The sequence below is a fragment of the Homo sapiens genome, chromosome 6 (assembly GCF_000001405.40).
Source record: "Homo sapiens chromosome 6, GRCh38.p14 Primary Assembly".
NCBI lineage: Eukaryota > Metazoa > Chordata > Mammalia > Primates > Hominidae > Homo > Homo sapiens.
Window position 1 is genome coordinate 108541248 of NC_000006.12, and position 18532 is coordinate 108559779.

General features: G+C 46.3%; 1 long non-coding RNA gene across 1 annotated transcript, besides 4 other annotated features; it reads right to left on the minus strand.

Annotated features, from left to right (window-relative positions):
- Nucleotides 1–10217: 10217 nt before the first annotated feature.
- Nucleotides 10218–17259, minus strand: LOC124901372 (uncharacterized). Its single transcript, XR_007059700.1, has 2 exons — nt 16917–17259; nt 10218–12120 (listed from the first exon to the last, which is right to left on the minus strand). It is a non-coding gene; the product is annotated as an uncharacterized LOC124901372 (long non-coding RNA).
- Nucleotides 16605–16874: a silencer, noted in NCBI's record as "silent region_17451". NCBI's record gives its function as "represses an Ori minimal core promoter by ATAC-STARR-seq in GM12878 lymphoblastoid cells {active_cell/tissue: GM12878}" and the evidence as "EXISTENCE:reporter gene assay evidence [ECO:0000049][PMID:35858748]".
- Nucleotides 17445–17504: an enhancer, noted in NCBI's record as "active region_24914". NCBI's record gives its function as "activates an Ori minimal core promoter by ATAC-STARR-seq in GM12878 lymphoblastoid cells {active_cell/tissue: GM12878}" and the evidence as "EXISTENCE:reporter gene assay evidence [ECO:0000049][PMID:35858748]".
- Nucleotides 18035–18394: a silencer, noted in NCBI's record as "silent region_17452". NCBI's record gives its function as "represses an Ori minimal core promoter by ATAC-STARR-seq in GM12878 lymphoblastoid cells {active_cell/tissue: GM12878}" and the evidence as "EXISTENCE:reporter gene assay evidence [ECO:0000049][PMID:35858748]".
- Nucleotides 18435–18504: a silencer, noted in NCBI's record as "silent region_17453". NCBI's record gives its function as "represses an Ori minimal core promoter by ATAC-STARR-seq in GM12878 lymphoblastoid cells {active_cell/tissue: GM12878}" and the evidence as "EXISTENCE:reporter gene assay evidence [ECO:0000049][PMID:35858748]".

Genomic DNA, 18532 nt, shown 5'->3' on the forward strand with positions numbered 1-18532 from the left:
CAATTTTAAGACTTATAACTATAGTAATCAAGACTGTGTGGTTTTGGTGAAGGGATGGTCACAGAGATTAATGGAGCAGAATAGAGAACTGGAAAATAGACCTACACAGATATGTCCAACTGATTTTTAGAAAGTTGTAAAAGCAGTTCAATAGGAGAAGGATAGGCTTTTCAACAAGTGGTGCTGGGACAACTGGATAAACATAGCTATCAACAAAAAGTAAACAAATCTCTACCTGGAACTCATATCTCATACAGAATTTAACTTAAAAATCAATCACATACTTAAATGTAAAGTGTAATTGTTGAGGAAAAAATAGAAGAATATATTCAGGATCTATGACTAGGCAAAGAGTTCTTAGACTTGACATTTAAAACACAACCCATACAAGGAAAAACTGATTAATTGGACTTTATCAAAATGAAAAAGTGCCCTGTGAAAGACTGCTGTGTGTTGAAACAGTACCTTGCTTTTCACGATAATAAAATACCGTCTAAAATGAATGTTGATAAACTACTCTAGAGCAGTGGATCTTTTAAGTGCCCACTTTGCAGACCAACCCTTAGCGCAGTGTCCAACAGCCAGTATAGGCACTCCACAAAATGTCAATGCAACTGAATGGCTTGTCTCCACCACACGCTGACGGTTCTCTGTAGCTGAATGGAGGGTGAGGGGACCTAAGGAAGAACATACAATGAAAGCCACAGGTACATGCCTTTTACATTTTCTCTCCTCCTTTTCCTCCTCTTTCTCCTCCCTCTCCCTCCTTCTCTCTTTTCCCTTTCCTCTCTCCCCTCTCCCTTTATCTTCACCTTTCTCCCTTTCCTCCTTCCCTCATCAAACCTCAGAAGATCACGGAGCATGGGAGTTTGAAGTAAGGAGTACAGGAAATGAAGATTGAAATTTGCATGTATGCTCAGCTCACAGCCACCAGATGGCGGGAGGAGATCAGGAAATTCAGGCAAAGCCCTTCTGCTCCAACTTAAAGAAACCACAACCAGCCAGCACCTGGCCAGCTTGCTTTTCTGGGTAAGTGACTATGTACAGAAATACTTTTTGTTTTCCATAACTCTCTGTAAAGCAATACCAGGTGCTGGCCAAAGCAAGTAGATGCTGTGTAATTTGATAGTGAATGTACCCATAGGAAGGGACAGTGTGTTTCTGCTTCTCCTTCCCTCTGCCTTTTCTTTCTGCATCTGCAAAATAGGGGTTCTGGTTGTGACCTGCCTCACTGTGATAAGTCCGCTGAGAGATAAAATGAGCAAAGTGCCCTGTGTGCCACAGATGACAGATGTTTTTCTAGGAAGAATGGCATCAGTGCACCATGTGTGTCTGACCACCACCACCCACAAGGAACACATGAAGTGCCCTGGTACTGTGGTAGCTGTGAACCTTGGGGTGATCTCTAAACATGCTTCCAATCCTGATGTCATTCTTTAGCTAAGTAAGACAATGACACCCACTGAGTTACACTCACCAGAAAAAGTTGCCCCATGACAGGTACCAGAGTCAACGGAGAAAGATATTTTCTTGGTAAGAATGGTTCTGGGAGGGACAGATTTGGAGCCAGGAGCTGTAGGTGAGATTTCAGCCTTGCTCTAACCAAGTCTGACCCTCCAGCCTCGCTCTCCCACCTGCAAATGAGAGTGATGCCTGTCCCTTAGCAGAGATGATGTGGAAGCACTCATTCTGACCTGAATAGACTTGGTATATATACCATGTGTGGAAGTTAGAGATGTTTCCTCCTCATTCTTCGTGTTGAATTTCACCCTTTTCTGAGGATATCTGAGTCTCTGCACTAAGGAGAGGTGGAGTCCACAGGCTGAGAGGTGCCTCACCATACTAGAAGCATGCCGAGTAGGCACTGTCTCAGGCCAGCTGGTTGACCAGTTTTGGCTTCTTTCTCCTTCTAGTGGGTAACTTCATCCTGTTTTACAAATATCATGGTTATTTCTTGGCATATTAAGCCGTGAGATGAGCCATGTAACTGGAGTCAATGTATGTTTTCATTTTAATCAGAAAATTCTTGAGACTTCACCAAAGGTCTTTCTGTTCCCATACTGTCCCTCCAAATATCTTACACATGGCAGATAGGAGGTAAGATTAAAAACAAACGGTAGGAGATGCTACAGTTACTATGATGAAAGCCCTTGGAGCAGGCGGCAGAGTGCTCAGGCCTCGAATGGGAGTCAAGGGATCTGGTTCTCCAGGTGCAGTCAGGGACAGCCTCAGACTGGCCCTTGGGAAAACCAGAAAACCAGAAAACCTGACCTGAAAACACGCCCTTCTTCAACAGCAATGTTTTCTGGAATGAGCACTTGGAGAAAGTTTGGTGGTTCAAAGGAAAGGAACCTAAGGAACAGAATGAAAGTGAAGGCATGTCATTGGTCAAAACAACTTTGCAACAAGGGAGGCACTGGCGGAGGCACCTTCTAGAAGTACACTGGAAGCCTGAAGAAGGCTACAGTCCAATGCACAGCCCAGCTGCTGGCTTGCAGCACAACTTGCTGCCTCCCGCCATGTGGCTGAATGCACACAGGGGTGCCCTGACACTGGCCATTTTGCAAAGATCCAGGGGACAATGGCAGCTGGTAGCAGCAGGAGTGGGGAGCCCACAGCAAAGGGATTAATGATGATCCACAGGGACCCCTGTGGAGAGATGTCAAACAGCATCTGCAGATGATTCTAGCAAGTACAGCAGTAGCCAGGGGTATTAGCAGTATTAGGATAACATGTGGCTCAGGTTGCAAAGTGGACCAATCCACCCTGGTTAACTGTAGGGTTCACTCAGGCAAAACAATGGTGCAAATACCACTGAGGCCTCCATTGACAAGACCCAGTTTCACCTCCCAAGATTGTTGTGAAACTTCATCCCTTCAGGAGAAAGATGCTCCAACCTTGGGTCTCATCCCTGAGGTGAATCCCTTTTCAGCAACTATTCAATTTTTTTAAGCTATGCAAGATTAGAATAGGGTGATGGTGGTGGTTATAAAACTCAGAATAAATATTAAGCTTTATTATATAGCTCATCTCTTTTTTAAAAGGGATATTTTTCTCCAATGTGAATCTTTCCTGTGACAACAGTTATAGGTCAAGGAAGGCAGAACTACAAAGATATTAAGTCCATTCTCTATTAGGGTAGAATTCCCTTGCTGATGCAAAAGTGCTGGCATTTTTTTCCTTAGCCTCATCCCCAAAGAAAAGGAAGCCAGTGATATGGGCATGGACTAATCGGCAGTCAGGAAAAAAAAAGAGCCATTGATAGTTTTGCCCAACTTTTCTGCACAAGATAGCCCTTTTTAATGTCAGACGGTTTCAAGGCATCTCCCATGATTGCTTTTACCCACTGATTGAGAAAAATTCATAATGATAAATATTTATAAGGCATATAAATACCATTCAAAAATAGTAGCACATGGTTGTGTGAGGTATGGTTTCTCAATCTCAGGCAATGTTTGGAGGCCACTGGCAGAGCTGTTGTAACAGCTCCAGGAAACCCAGAAGGGAAAAAGGCCAAGACACATCCCTTCCCCGAAGAACTCCACCATCTGGTTTTTAAAGAATGGGCCTACATAGGGCTTAGCTCCACAGCCTTGACATTAGCACGGCATGCATGGGGCAGACAGGGACCTGGCACTTGACAGAATGCCTTCTCCGCAGGGTTCCTCTGGAAGTGTTCACTGCTAAATAACTGAGGACTACTGAGGAGACAGGAGGGGAAGAAAGGGGAGGTGGGGGATTACCATAATAAAACTGCAGCCTGATAGGCCAGCAGCTGCTGCAATGAGCCCCCCACCCCCTACCCTAGGGGAGCCAGACTGGACAAAAGCAAGATGATGGACCCATTCTCTTACCTTAGGACCTCAACTCCTGACATTAGCATAGCCTGGTATAGAGCTGAGGACAAGTTCACCCCCTGCACTCCCACGCCACATCAGGGTAAAGGCCAGAACACTTGTGGTCAGATGCTGTCTCAGGACCCCAGAACCTCAAACAGGAGAGGAGCAGGTGGCTGTGAGTGGTTCCGTGGCTGAGGTCTTCCTTCAGAACCTCTCCAAGGCCCAGCCGGCTAGAGAGATGCAAGCCTTGTGAGATAGGAACTTAGCCTGAAGCCATCGATTGGGCTATATTACAGGGTCATTCCAGCACTTTGAAAAACAGATTTCACTTCTCTACCTAGAAATTAGTCCTCTTATCTTGGATACCTTAGAGGGAAATGGTAAAGAAAAAAATTAATCAGTGACCTGATCCTCCAAGCCCAGCCAGTGATCAGATTTTGGTTGGGGATGGGGGCAGTCTGTTTCCCACCCCCTGCCATCCAGGAGGAGCTCTATAGTCCAAGGCTTCTTTTTGGGAGGGCAAGGGGTTGCCATGTGAGTGCAAGCAGGTACCCTGGCTAAGCACAGAAGAACACAAGAAAGATTTTATATTTTATGTTCAAGTGAGGGGTAAAGTGGTAACTATGGGAAGGAAAGCTAATTGGGGCAGATTATAATAAATCACAGATCACCAGGAAGTTTGAACCCACAGCTGGATGCAGGTAAAGAAAATGAGGTCTTCCTAAAGAACATCTCTGAAACCCTCTAACAAAAACTAACAAGAACCGGTTGCCTTATGGCAATGCCAATTCAGCAGAAATGAGGATCTCCCAGAGCAGTAGATTTTCTATGATTAGAAGTCAAATGAGTCCAATAAATTAATTATAATATTTTTCTCTCCTCTTTTGCACTCAGGAGCACTTGGCATCCTTTATCAGGGCCATGATTACATTAGGTACCTGCAAAAAGCTTTGATAAAAATAATCTGATTTTCTATAGCTCTGATGATTTGCTGATTTGGTAAAAGGTCAGAACCTGCTACCAATGGCACCCTCTGTGGTCAGGAACTGTGGCTTAACTACCAACTGTTTCTTGTGCCCAGTGATATCATAGATATGGGAAGAGTTCAAGGATTAAACCTTCCTTCCTCCCTCCCTCTCTTCCTTCGTTCTACATTTATTGAGTGCCTGCTATGTGCTGAATATACAAAGACCAGTTAGACACAATGCCTGGCCTCAATGAGCTTCCAGTCTAGTGAGAAAACAGCCCTTGCTAAAAAATCAGCTAAGTTCAAAGGTTAGAAATAGCTAAACCATGAAGAAATAATGAACATTCACAAACATGTAAACAAGGGAAAACACAACAGCTTTGTGGAATTTTACCTGTCAGTGATACAGGCCAGAAGTTTTGCTTGTAAATTGGTGCACACAGAGGGTGTTGGGTAAATGCTTGTTGAAGAAATTCATTAACATAGTCACAGAAGCTAGCCCTAGAAACTGCGTCTGAGATTCTCTAGTTCAGCACTTTCATTTATAAAAGAGGAAACTGAGACTCAGGGAGGTCAAATGTGTTGGGTGAGCCAAGGATGGAGCAGGGTAGAGCAGCCACATCTCCTGGTTCCTGTGCCCTTTCTCTCACATTGATTCCTGACCTGGGCAACCTGGGTCTTCAACATGTGCTTTTCTGAAAAGGGATCAGGAGACAGACTTTACCCTCTAGTAGCTCAGAGTAAGAGAGGAAAGATCCCACTGCAAAAGGACTTAACAGAACTAAATGAGGCTGAGGCTGTGAGAGAAGGAAGTGGGTTTCTCAGCATTCAACAAGACAGAATAAACAGTTAAAGGTGGCTGGGCGCGGTGGCTCATGCCTGTAATCCCAGCCCTTTGGGAGGCCGAGGCAAGCAGGTCACCTGAGGTCAGGAGTTTGAGACCAGCCTGGCCAACATGGCGAAACCCTGTCTCTACTAAAAATACAAAAAGTAGCCAGCGTCATGGCGCACGGATATAATTCCAGCTACTTGGGAGGCTGAGGCAGAAGAATCGCTTGAACCTGGGAGGTGGAGGGTGCAGTGAGCCAAGATCACGCCACTGCCCTCCAGCCTGGGCGACAGAGCGAGACTCCGTCTCAAAAAACAAACAAACAAAAAACAGTTAGAGGAGTATCTAAGAGAAATCATTTCTAACAGGAGAATTGTGGTTCAACTGGGCTAGTGCAGCATGACCCTCCAGCAGCATTTCCTTGGGTGGTAAACTTCGTTAGTTAAAGCAGAGTGTCTGTGAGGACAGAGCCAGGGCCTGGTCCCCAGTGAGGGGCTCATGTGGGCCAGAGGCAACATGCCTCCAACCCGGTCAGTTGTCTTCCAGGTGAGGATAAGGGGAAGCAGGGTGCAGGGATGGAGACTGTAGCAACATGGGGAGAGTGTGGTCTTTACAGTCAGCCAGGCCTGGGTTCAAGTCTCAGCTCTGCCAGCACCTCAGCTGGGAAATCTCAGGCCTGTGGCCAAACTTCAATCTCCTCATTTATATAATGGGGATAAAATTATCTCCTTTATAGGGATGATTTTATAATCCTTTATATTATGATTTTTATGATGATTAAATATATACATTTAGAAGCTTCTAGTTATAGGCACTACTTCTTAGTAGGTATGCAGTAAATCTTAGTTAAATCTGAATTGTTTAAATCCATCATCACTAAAAGAAGAAAACTTAAACAGTCCAACAATTCCAAGTGCTAGTGAGAATGTGGCCAAGTAGATACTCACACAGTGCTGTGGAGAGTATAAACCCTACAGCCACTGTGGAAAACAATCTGGCATTGAGTGATGTAGAAGATGCATAGGGCTATTACCCAGAAATTCTTCTATTAAGTATATACTAAACTCGGGTCAGGCGTGGTGGCTCACATTTGTAATCTCAGCACTTTGAGAGGCTGAGGCAGGAGGATCACTTGGAGCCAGGAGTTCGAGACCAGCCTGGGCAACATATCGAGTCTCCATCTCTACAAAATTAAAAATAAATAAATAAGTAAAAGCGTATATTAAACTCATGCACATGTGCCCAGGAATGTTTAGAACAACAATGTTTGCAATTGCTCTAAACTGGAAACAGCCCAATTAGCCATCAACATTAGAATAGATCAATAAAGTATTATAGATTATAGATAGATAACTATTCATATAATGAAATGTCATACAGCCATGAAAATGAATGAATACAGCAACACACAGCAACATAGATGAATCTCAGGAACATAATATTGAGAAGCAGCAGCAAGACACAAAAGAACACATGCAGTGTGATACAATTCATATGAAGATCAAAAACAGGAAAAAAATGAGATTACAGTGTTTAGGGATGCAAACACAGCAAGCTATAAAGAAAAGCAAAGAGATGATTACCACAAAAGTTAGGAAAATGATTACTTTTAGGGAGAGAGAAGAGGGGTTTGTTTAATTGGAAACAGGGAGTCTTGCTCTGTTGCCCAGGCTGGAGTGCAGTGGCACCATCATGGCTCACTGCAACCTTGAATTCTTGGGCTCAAGTGATCCTCCTAACCTGGCCTCTCAAAGTGCTGGGATTACAGGTGTGAGCCACCGCACCAAGTCGAGAGGATGGTTTTGATGGGGAAGGGCACTCCAGGGATTTATAGGGGAATAGTAATGTTCTATTTCCTGATCTAGGTGATAGTTACACTTGGTTGTTCTCTTTATAATAATTCATTAAACTGTACTGTTAACATAAATGTTTTTCAGTTTTCTATATGCATGTTATATTTCTTTTTTTCTTTTTTTTTTTTCTGAGATGGAGTCTTGCTCTGTCATCCAGGTTGGAGTGCGGTGGTGCAACCTCTGCTTACTGCAACCTCTGCCTCCCGGGTTCAAGAAATTCTTCCACCTCAGACTCCCGGGTAGCTGGGATTACAGGTGCCCATCACCATGCCTAGTTAATTTTTGTATTTTTAGTAGAGACAGGGGTTTCACCATGTTGGCCAGGTTGGTTTTGAACTCTTGGCCTCAAGTGATCCACTTACCTCGGCCTCCCAAAGTGCTGGGATTATAGGCATGAGCCACCGAGCCTGGCCTGTATGCATATTTCCTGATAAAAAGTGAAAAAAAAATGCGTATGCTGAAGAAGGAGACAGAAGCACCATCCTCATAGATGTGGGACAAGTAAAAAATACAGGTGTTTTATAAAATATTTCTTTGTTTCATTTTGGGTAAGTTGAAAGATGCAAGGTTAATAAACATTTTTTACATATGAGAGAATAAAGTAGCACTAGGTAGGATACTATTAAAGACTTCTAGACAGAATTTTCCAAGCCATCTAACATTCTCATCTTCTGAGTATTTCTTGAATGCAGAAATTAAGCAACACGACATATAAATTTTGACCTGGTCTCATTCCAATATTAATGTACAACAATTGTGAAAAAGTGGAGAGGGACTAACTGAAAACAGATATAGACAAACTAGTTTTTATGCTTTTGTGAAAGGAATGCAATTCTCATTGTTCACTTGGGGATCAATTAGTTTGACAAGAATAATTTTTTTATAATATCAAGTTTATAAGAGGGAAATGGGTCAAGATGGCTGCCTCTTTTGGACTGGGCCTCATGGAATTCTTCTGCCAGTAGTTTTCTTCAGATCTGATTATTTAGCAGGTAAAGAAACCTGATTTTGCTACTTTACCCAGAGTTTTCAGATCTGGGGGACTGCTGACAGTGGTTTTTGAGGCCACTGACATTTCCTATAGCCCCTACTCTGCTGCCCATCCACTGGAAAAAGGCGAGCCTGTGCAGGCCACAGCCTCTCTGGTTCCCAGGCTCCACATAGGTCACATGGACCCTACTGGTCATGGTTGTCATGACAACCTACTCCCTCTTCAATAACATATTAATATTTTCGTGGCACAAGTGAAAAGAAAGGGCCCAGCTCAAACCTCATCTTTTTACCGAATGGCAATATCCCCAGAAACTCCAAGAGGGGTTTCACTTTCCATAGAAAATAGGAAGGCCTGACCCAAAGTGACTGGATTTGGTCAAGTTCCCTAAATAGGATGAGAACCACAGGGATTGTGTTTGTTTATGGAATTACTCACTTGGCTTCATTATTTGTTTCCAAAATACAGATTTTATAAAAGTCATTTTAAGTGTAAAAAAAAAACCCTTCAGATTATACATTTGAGAAGTGAAGTTGCAAAAGGACTCTTGATACTGTGTGAATGTGTGAGGTTCAGATGTTATGCTTTCATAAAATAACTTGTGTTTGAAGGCCTGGAGACTTCCTCCTCACAGATGTCTCACTTAGTGATTCTGTCACCTATTTTGGTGGCTTCAGCTGTCTCTCCAGAAATGAGCACAAGGAGCCCCTAAGGAGACACAGATATGGGATATTAAAGGAATGTGAACTATGCCAGGGAGTGGGAAAGGAAGGGAGGTAAGCCTTTCTAACACGTGGAGCAGAGCTGCTTTCCGAGGAAAGTGAATCTGACCCCCAGCCAAAACCACTTCTCTGGTGAAAACTCCGATGGTCTCAGGCCAGATGACTTGGACACCATCTCTTGGAGTGGGAAGACAAGGCCTCACAAGCTTGTCCCACTAACACCATTAGGACCTCTACTCTGAGAGACCACCAAGTAGGGCTCAACCAGGACCTGAACTGAGAGAAAAGTTCCTCCAACAAAGGAAAAATTTTCTTCTGAGACAGTTGAACCATCGCTAATGGATAGCATTCAGACTCAAATACACTATCTTTATAGGGGCTGTGGTAGCTTGACTTGGTACTTTTCTTTCTTTGTCTACAGGTAAACAGAACCCAACGCAGCTGGAGAAATGAGAGGAAAGGGTTCCCCATCTGTCCATGGGACTGGCCTTTCCCCCATACTCATGCTCTTCTATGTGTGCCGCTGTCTTCTGACAGGGGCAGGAGAGGCCTTGCAAGGCTGAGGACTGTCATTTAGCTCCATTTCTTTGTTTCTTTACTTCATTCTGTGCCCCTGCTATTAGTTGATCTTCTTGTTGACTCTTTACTGGGTTATTACACCATCAACCAGGGTCATTTACACTGTCCTAATATCAGGACCTACGGTATTTTCTACATCACTGGAGCCTTTGCCTTCCTCGGGCACTCTACGTGTGTCCTCACCTAGAGGTTTATAGATTTATTATAAAGAATATTACAAAGGATACAGAAGAAGAGGTATAGAGGGCAAGGTATAGGGGAAGGGGTGTGGAGGTTCCGTGCCCTCCTGGGTACGCTACCCTGAAGGAACCTCCTTCTGGTCAGCTATCTGGTAATTCCTTTACTTAGCAGTTTTCTATGCCAAGATGTGCAGTCACATGCACACAGGCCTCATGCTAGCTTGAAAATTTTAGACTGTTTACATCAGAGTCGCAAAATTTGCCAAACATTTTATTTTTCCTCTGCTGTCTTCCAGTTTCACAGGTTTACTCCATTTCTAGATATGGATGTGGGAGGAACAATAATCAGATTTAATGTCCCTGGAGCTCCAAATCACATCCTTTGGGGGGCTTTAGTACCAGGTTATTCCAGGAAACTTTACACATAAGTGGACATGCCAAACCAAACCAGGGAGATGCGATGTATTGTGCAGAGTAATGAATGATTCCACATGGCCTTGATTTCTTTGAAGTACCACTTCAATTTTTTTTTTTTGGGTAGGGTTGGAGTCTCGCTCTGTTGCCTAGGCTGGAGTGCAGTGGCACAATCTTGGCTCACTGCATCCTCTGACTCCCGGGTTCAAGCGATTCTCCTGCCTCAGCCTCCCGGGTAGCTGGGAATATAGGCGCGTGCCACCACACCTGGCTAATTTTTCTATTTTAAGTAGAGACGGGGTTTCACTGTGTTGGCCAGGCTGGTCTCGAACTCCTGACCTCATGATCCGCTCGCCTGGGCCTCCGAAAGTGCTGGGATGACAGGCGTTAGCCACTGTGCCTGTCCCACATCAATGTTTTAAAGTAATTTGTATTTAAAGTTCCAATTACTAAGCATTTTGTTTATTTATGTATTTATTTTTGAGAGTCTTGCTCTGTCGCCCAGGCTGGAGTGCAGTGGCATGACCTCAGCTCACTGCATCCTCTGCCTCCCGGTTTCAAGTGATTCTCCTGCCTCAGCCTCCCGAGTAGCTGGGATTACAGGTGCGCACTACCACGCCCAGCTAATTTTTGTATTTTTAGTAGAGATGAGGCTTCACCATGTTGGCCAGGCTGGTCTCGAACTCCTGGCCTCAAGTGAACCTCCCGCCCCTGCCTCCCAAAATGCTGGGATTATAGGGGTGAGCCACTGCGCCCAGCCAGCATTTTAAATAGATTTTCTAACACATGGACATGGACACATGCTCACTTCACAAATTTTTGCAAGATGAGAAATGGAGTAGATGGACCACTTACAAAGCTCAATGCCATTTGCTGGAGGCCAGTCAGCCGGAAGCATTGCATTAATTTTGATTTTGTCTTCCTTTCCTCTAGAAGAGATTGATTAACATTTACAACAGGAGTTTTTACATTTACATTTTAAAAATGTAGTCACAACTCTCATTCTTACTGCTGGGTTTCAAAAAAAATTGAGTACTTTGTTTCTAACTTCCTTCAATTGACAAACGATAACATATAGTGTTTAGCCTGATCCCTGTGTCTTCAAGGACATAATATCTAGCTGGGAAGAAAAACAAAGAAGTATTTTGATTTCAAATCTACTCAGTTGTTTTTTATAGACTCTTGTTCCTTTCTTCTATTTTCAAACTTCCTTTTTGTTTAAACCTATTAAGTACACTTATTTTCTGTGTCAGCTTATTCTCATACCCCAGCCTTTGTGTATCTGACCTTACATTTTGTTTCTGTCTGCTCCTACATGGAGCCTTGCTTATTATATGTTTTGTGTTTTCTGATTATGATTATGGAAGTTCTTTGGGGCCTAGGCTCAAGATAGCCCTCCAAGAGGATGTGTCTTTCCTTCTGCCAGTTGTTAAAAGCACCACAAACTGGGGCTCATGAAGTTTTTAAAATAATTCCATGGTATCATGAATTTTGGTCATAATATTACATACGGACCACACCATAGTTGTGAATTTTCAAGGAAGAATATTTTTTATACTCTTTTATTCAGGGCTTTGATCAAGACAGACGATTTTTCCTGGGATCCTCTTCTGCAAAGCCAGTTAATTTCACATTCGCCTTTACTTTGGCCCTTTGGACTTCTGGTTTTAGGGGGGTAGAGTCTTCTTATTCTCCTGATCTTGGACAAGACTGAGGATTTATCTTCTGTGTCCCAGACTCTACACACCTGTCAAAGTAGAAGCTCAAATGTTGTCAGATTTTCTAGGAGTGTGCTCACTTCCCACCTTAACTTTGTTTTTGGTCTCTGTGGGTTTCTTCCTTTTTTGCCAGCTCAATAAAATCCATTTAAAAAATTTTTAAAAATCTTATCCAGCTTTAGTTTTCATCAGGAAGTTTGTTCTGGTTATTTGCTCCATTGTGTTAAATTGAAGTACTTTAAAAACAAGGTTAGATAATGTATAATCAGTTGCTAAGCAGAATCGACGTACAGTTTCTCCAGTGCTTCTGTTTCCTTTACTTTCTATTCAGAACAAATCTTCCTCCTCAGAATGCAAGACAGTGGCTGAGTGGAGTAGGGGCAATGGTGTGCTGGCAGACTGGCCCTCCGAAAGAAGAAAAGGAAGGAAAAAAAAAAGCAAGCAAGCCTTGATGGATTTGCCAATTTCTGTGATGTAAATACTCCCATAGTAGTCCATTTCAAACTACCAAGATGTGCACAGTCTTCTCTCATGAACTGGAGCGGGTCAATGCCACTATGAAGGTAAAAGATCCAAATCAGGGTGGCTAAGTCACCCAGAGATTGGTGGGGAGAGCCTGATGAGGAAGAGGTGAACTAACTAGAGCACATACCAGCTAACTGTTACCCTGTGGGTATAGTGCCAGTGTTACCATATCTTCCAATTTCTCAAGAAGAGCTAGAAATCCAAATTTTAGGTGAAATCTCTTCCTTTTAAATGTTGGCAACAGACTAAGAAACTTTTTTTTTTTTTTTAAGAGATGGAGTCTTTCTCTGTCATCCAAGCTGTAGTGCAGTGGCACAATCATATTTCACTGCAGCCTTGAATTCCTGGACTCAAGTGATCCTCCCACCTCAGCCTCCCAAGCACCTGGGGGACTACAGGTGCATGCCACCACACCTAGCTAATTTTAAAAGATTTTAGAGATGGGGGTCTTGCTATCTTGCTCAGGCTGGTCTTGAATTCCTGACCTCAAGAGATCAAAAATTTAAAAAACACCAGAGAGAACCAAAAACTAACCCTATTGGGGCAGATTTGGCCAGATAACCACTAGCTTTAGACAGGTTGGGGAAGTGTCTCGGGTTATGTTTGCTTATCTGGTTCCAGCCCCTTTTCTCCAGGCCAAAAGGCTCACATAAAGCCCCCTTTCTTTAGGCTCATTTTGGAGAGGCAGTGCAGTACTGGGGAAGAGGAGAATGCACCATGGACTCAGAATTCTCAGTTCGAATCCTAGGCCTGCCACTCACTGTGTGACCTGAGGCAAATCCTGGTAAAATGAGAGGGATGGTCCCTGCTGTGGTAGGTTGTTCTAGAAACAAACCGAGATGTTTTGTGTATGGAAGCTGCCCCCTGTGTGTAGTCAGTTCATGGCTCTGTCCTCATTCTAAGCAGGAACCAGAGAGTCAGAGCTGAAGGCAAACGCTGGCATGTGCAGCACAGAGACCTCTATCTCAGGGTTCTCAACCTTCACTGCCTTAGATTCACCTGGCAAATATTTAAAAACAACAACAACAACAATCAGTCAATGCCAGACCCTGACCTCAGAATTTCTAATTCAGTTGGTCCAAGGTGGAGCCTGGGCATGACTATTTTTAAAGCACCCCCTAGTGCTCTAATACTAAGTGCTTTAGATTCATAATTTCAATTATCCCAATCCTTCCAACAATCTTAGAAGGTATTCTCATTTTAAAGATAAAGACATGAGGCTTCATGATTAAGTAATATCCCAAGGTCGCATGGCTGGTAAATGAGGAATCAGACTTAACTCAGAGCCTGAATTCTCAACCCCCTGCCACTTAGCACTATTGTATGTACCTCACATGGTCTTTGTGAGGTCTAAGCATTCCAATAAAGTGCTTAATTCAGGACCTGCAACTTACTGACAAATCAAGGTTGGGTAATGACAAATATCATTATCTCCTATTACCAAAACAGAGAATTCTTCCCAATTTCTCTTCTATCCAATTCCATTTCAGGTAAATGTTCACTCTTTTTTGGAACCCCGGCTTTTTTTTACCCTGCAAGCATACATACTTGCCCTCCAAATGCATCATCGTAACAACCTAGGGGACGCTTTGCCAGGGTTTGTCATGCCAAGGGAAGAAAGGGAAAGAGAGAGGACAGGAGCTGCAGATACTTGTGGAGAGCGTGGTGATGAAACCTGTCTGGAATGATGCCCCAAAGGGCGAGCCACAGCTCATAGCTGTTTGGTACACGGTGTTCAATAAAGACACACTGCATGAGAGTAATTTGCTGAGGAGAGGGTAAGCAGAGAAAGGGTCTAATGAGGGTGTCAGACATAGACTGGGGAGCAGCTATATCAGATGGGTCACATACTCGTTAGGAACCTCATCCTACTGGTTTCCTGTCTTCATTGAGATGGACACAGAAGCCAACCCAAGAGGAAAATGTGCACTTGCTGAAGGGCAGTAGGCTCAGTTCCTAGAATGTGGGCTCTGGGGTCAGAGGGAGGCTCCAGCTGGCCTAGGTACAAGGAGAACTGGGCTAGCACACAAGTGCTGAGTGAGTGGTGTTTCCTCAGAGGGAGAGCCCTGGTCTCTACCACGAATCCCCTCACAACTAGGTGTTTGAAATGGTGATTTTTACCCAGCTTACTTAGGTAAACATCTTAAATTTTGTCCCTCCAGTGACTGGATTTGCAAAATAGAGTGAACAATCACCACCTTAAATTATTAATAGAAATAAATAGGATATAAAATTGTTCAATAAGAGGTGGGAAAAGTTTTGACCAAAAATTCTGCCTTGAAGGGAATGCTGGCATTTCCTCTCAATTAACAACCATAACTTCTGGTAGGAAGAAATGGAGAAGGAACAAGGAGGCCTACAAGAGGAAGGCAAAGGTCGAGGCAATTTGTGGCTAAAAGAGAACAGTCTCTGAGATTCAACCTCTTAGTTCTCAAAGGTTTGCCCATATGCACAAATTACAAGGGTAAGGTGCACATTTACAAAGCTGCAAGTTTATAGTCACTTCCAAGTGAAGCTTTTTGATCTTCAATTCACTTGAAACTTACCCAACACTCTATGTATGACCTCTTGTATTTGTCTTCTACTGTTTTTTTTTTTTTTCCTTTGTGGTGAGGGAGGGAGGACAGGGCCTCACTCTGTCACCCACGCTGCAGTGCAGTGGTACAATCATGGCTCATTGCAGCCTGGACCTCCTGGGACCAAGCGATCCGTCCTTACACCTCGGCCTCCCATAGCTGGGACTTCTTGTATTTTTGTAGACACCTGGGTTTCGTCATGTTGTCTAGGCTGGTCTTGAACTCCTGGGCTCAAGGCATCCTCCTGCCTTGGGCTCCCAAAGTGCTGGGATTACAGGTGTGAGCTACTGCACCCGGCCTTCTACTATTTTTAAACTTGCAATATTTCTTTTTAACATGTTTTATACCCCCAAGTAACATGTCTTATACCCTCAAGTAAGCTCTTTGAGGGAAATGGCTTTATCATGTGCCTGCCCCCCATTCCTCACTGTGAAGTGAAGCTCACAAGGCTCTGTTAATCCACTGAATCTTTGACTCCTCCACTCTTTTGGAATGCCCCTGGGATATGTGTTCTGTAAATGGACACTCAACATGTTTATAGTGAAAATCTAATGGCCGAGAGCCCAGCCACTGTAAACACATTCTTTCTACTTTTGCAGGTCTGCACTCTAATGACAAAAGATTGCTTAGATTTAGAGAAGAAAACGCGTGGATTTCTTCTACAGTGTTACAAGTATTTAAAGCCAGCAACGAAAATTCTTGGAATTTTATGCTGCATCACGATGCGCGGCCCTGGGTGATCTAGCCTTCCAGTTCTTCGTGCAAAGCTGAATACCAGCTTTTAACCACCACCATACCCAACCCGCACCCCAAGCACTGGCACTTGAAGCCGAGTTGTGGTCATACATCACCATCCACACTCCCAGGCTGTAAACCCAATGCAAACCTGGGGCTTCTCAGTGGGACAGGCCTACAAGGAGAGGAGAGGTGCCTCGTGAGGAGGAGCCACCGCAGTAAGCAGTCAGAGCCCCCTTCCCCAGACTCCCCCTTCCAAGGGCAACCCGAAATAGCAGAAACGCTTTTATATGTGGGCAGAGCCGCATGCCCACGAGACAGGCACATGTGGACTGCGGGCATTCGGTACAAGGAAGCGAGGACACAGAGTACGTAGGGTGCTGAGGGTCCACCTCGCAGCCAAAGTATGTGTGCCAGTGAGTGTGTGCAGCTTGTGAGATCTGCTCTAGAAACCGTGGCCGCGGACTGGCGCGGCCTCCTGGGCGAAGCACAAACAGGAGGCTTTGTTCCCTGAATGTGAGAATGAGGGAGCCGAGCTGGGCGCAAAGACGGCGGCGTTCCGCGGCGGGAAACCGTCGTCTCCGCCGCGGCTCGGGCAGCGCGCGAAACTCTCAATCAGGTTCCCCGGCCCGGGCCGCCGGCTATGCCAGCGGCGCGCAGTGGGGACAGCCTAGCTGTCTCGCGAGCAGCGCCCGGAGAGGCCGCGCCGCGGGCCCCGCCGCGTCCCTCCGCCAGCGCGGGCGGCCCCACGCGCCCGCCACTCGGCAGCGCAGCCAGCGCCACATTCCATTTAAAAATAACACCCACGTGCGCTGGTAAACAAGCGCGCGCGGCTACCAGGGCCGCGCGCCCCGGCCCAGTGTGTGTGGCGCGCGCCCGCCCTCCTCCCGCACGTGTCGGCCGGCGCCATTCAGTCCCCGCCCCCTCGGCGGGTCGCGCCCCGCCCCCGAGCCCCCAGCCCCGCCGCTCCGGGCCCTAGCGCCCCCTACCCCGCCAGGCGCGCCCAGTCGAGTGCGCTGCAACTTTCCTCCCCCGACGCCTCCTCTTCGCTGGCAGACCCACCGCCCCAAGTCGGCTGCCTTCCTCCCGTCCGCTGTCCTCTCGCGTCCCCCCTTGAACCCTCCCACCGCCAGCGCGCGAAGGATTGGTTTCTAGTGCGCCCTCTCCCTTTTTCCCTCTCCTCTCTCTCCTTCCTTAGAATTTTACTCGATTGTTTATTATTTGCTGGGGGGCGGGGGCGGGGGGGCGGAGAGGGGCGTCTGGGGCCTGGAGACTGGTGGCCGCGGCCAGTCAGCGCGCGGCGTGCCTTGACGAGTAAGCGGCGCAGCGAATGGCGACGCGGCGGAGAGCTCCGGGGTCACGCGCGTGTGGATACGATGACATCATCTGTTTGTACGCGTCGAACTAGCTTGGTGCAGGGGCGGGGCCGCGCGTCACTTGAGTGACGGGCGCTGCGCAAAGCCCGGAGCCCGGAGGCGGCTGGGCGGGCTGGCTCTTGCGTACGCTGGGCTGGACCTTTTTGTGTATGGGGTCGTTGAGGAGCCCGCTTCTACACTCTGAGCTATCTCCGGTGACTTACAAGGATTTTTTAAAAAATATATTTATGAACTAGTGTGTAGACTTTTGGTGTGCATGTCGCGTGTGGTGCATTCGTAGAGTACAAATAAACGATTTGGGGCACGGATCGTAGAATAAGGACTTGTGCAGATGTTTTTCGTTTAACCTAAAGGATACGTCTTTTTTTAAAAGTCAAAAATGCCCACGTAGCGGTTTTGTCGTCATTTACAAATTAGATTAAAATTATTTCCCCTTCTCAGTTGTTCGGAATCTGCTCTTGAATGTAGGACGGGGGTAAATTTGCATTTCTTCCGGAGTTAGTTACACCTCTCCCCCGTTTGCCATGAAACCCATGAAAAGTGAAACACGACTGTGGTCCACCGTCCGAGGTGAGAGACTCAGTGCAAACCTTTTGGTGCCTGATCGAATCTGTGAGCATCAGCTTATCGAAGTTGTGCAGGCACCAACATCTTCGCCGTTCAGTATTTCCACACCGCGATAACCCTGCCCATCTTGCGGCCAGCATCTTATCTCGGGTGTTACCTGGTGTCGCGTTCTAACAGGGAACCGGACACCGGGGCTGGCCCAGAGCCCGGCGGGCGGACGCGCAGGCCAGGGACCCCCTGGTACCAGGCGCCCTGCCCGGAGTCAGGGAGGCCACGCCGCTGCGCTCCTTGGAGCGTCGGGGGCTGTGCGCTCCTGCCGCTCCCCCTTCTCCCTCCTCTCCCCACTTCTTCCTCCTCTCCTCCCTTCTCCCCCCTTCTCCCTCCTCTCCCGGGCCAGCGCCGCGCTTTGTTGTCGTTGAGACTCTCGGGAGGGAGGAGGAGCCCAGCGGGGACAGCAGCGGGAGCCCGCCGAGTCCCGGCCCACGGCGCGCGCCCGGACACCCACGCCCGCAGCCCCGCGGAGCCGGGCCGCGCAGGCGCGCGCGAGCTCACACACGCGCACTCACACACGCACGCCCGCCGCGCGCCCGGCCCGCCGCCCAGCCCGCCGCCCAGCCCTCCCCCTGGGCGGGGACCCGCCCGCCGTCAGCCTAGGTTGAGGC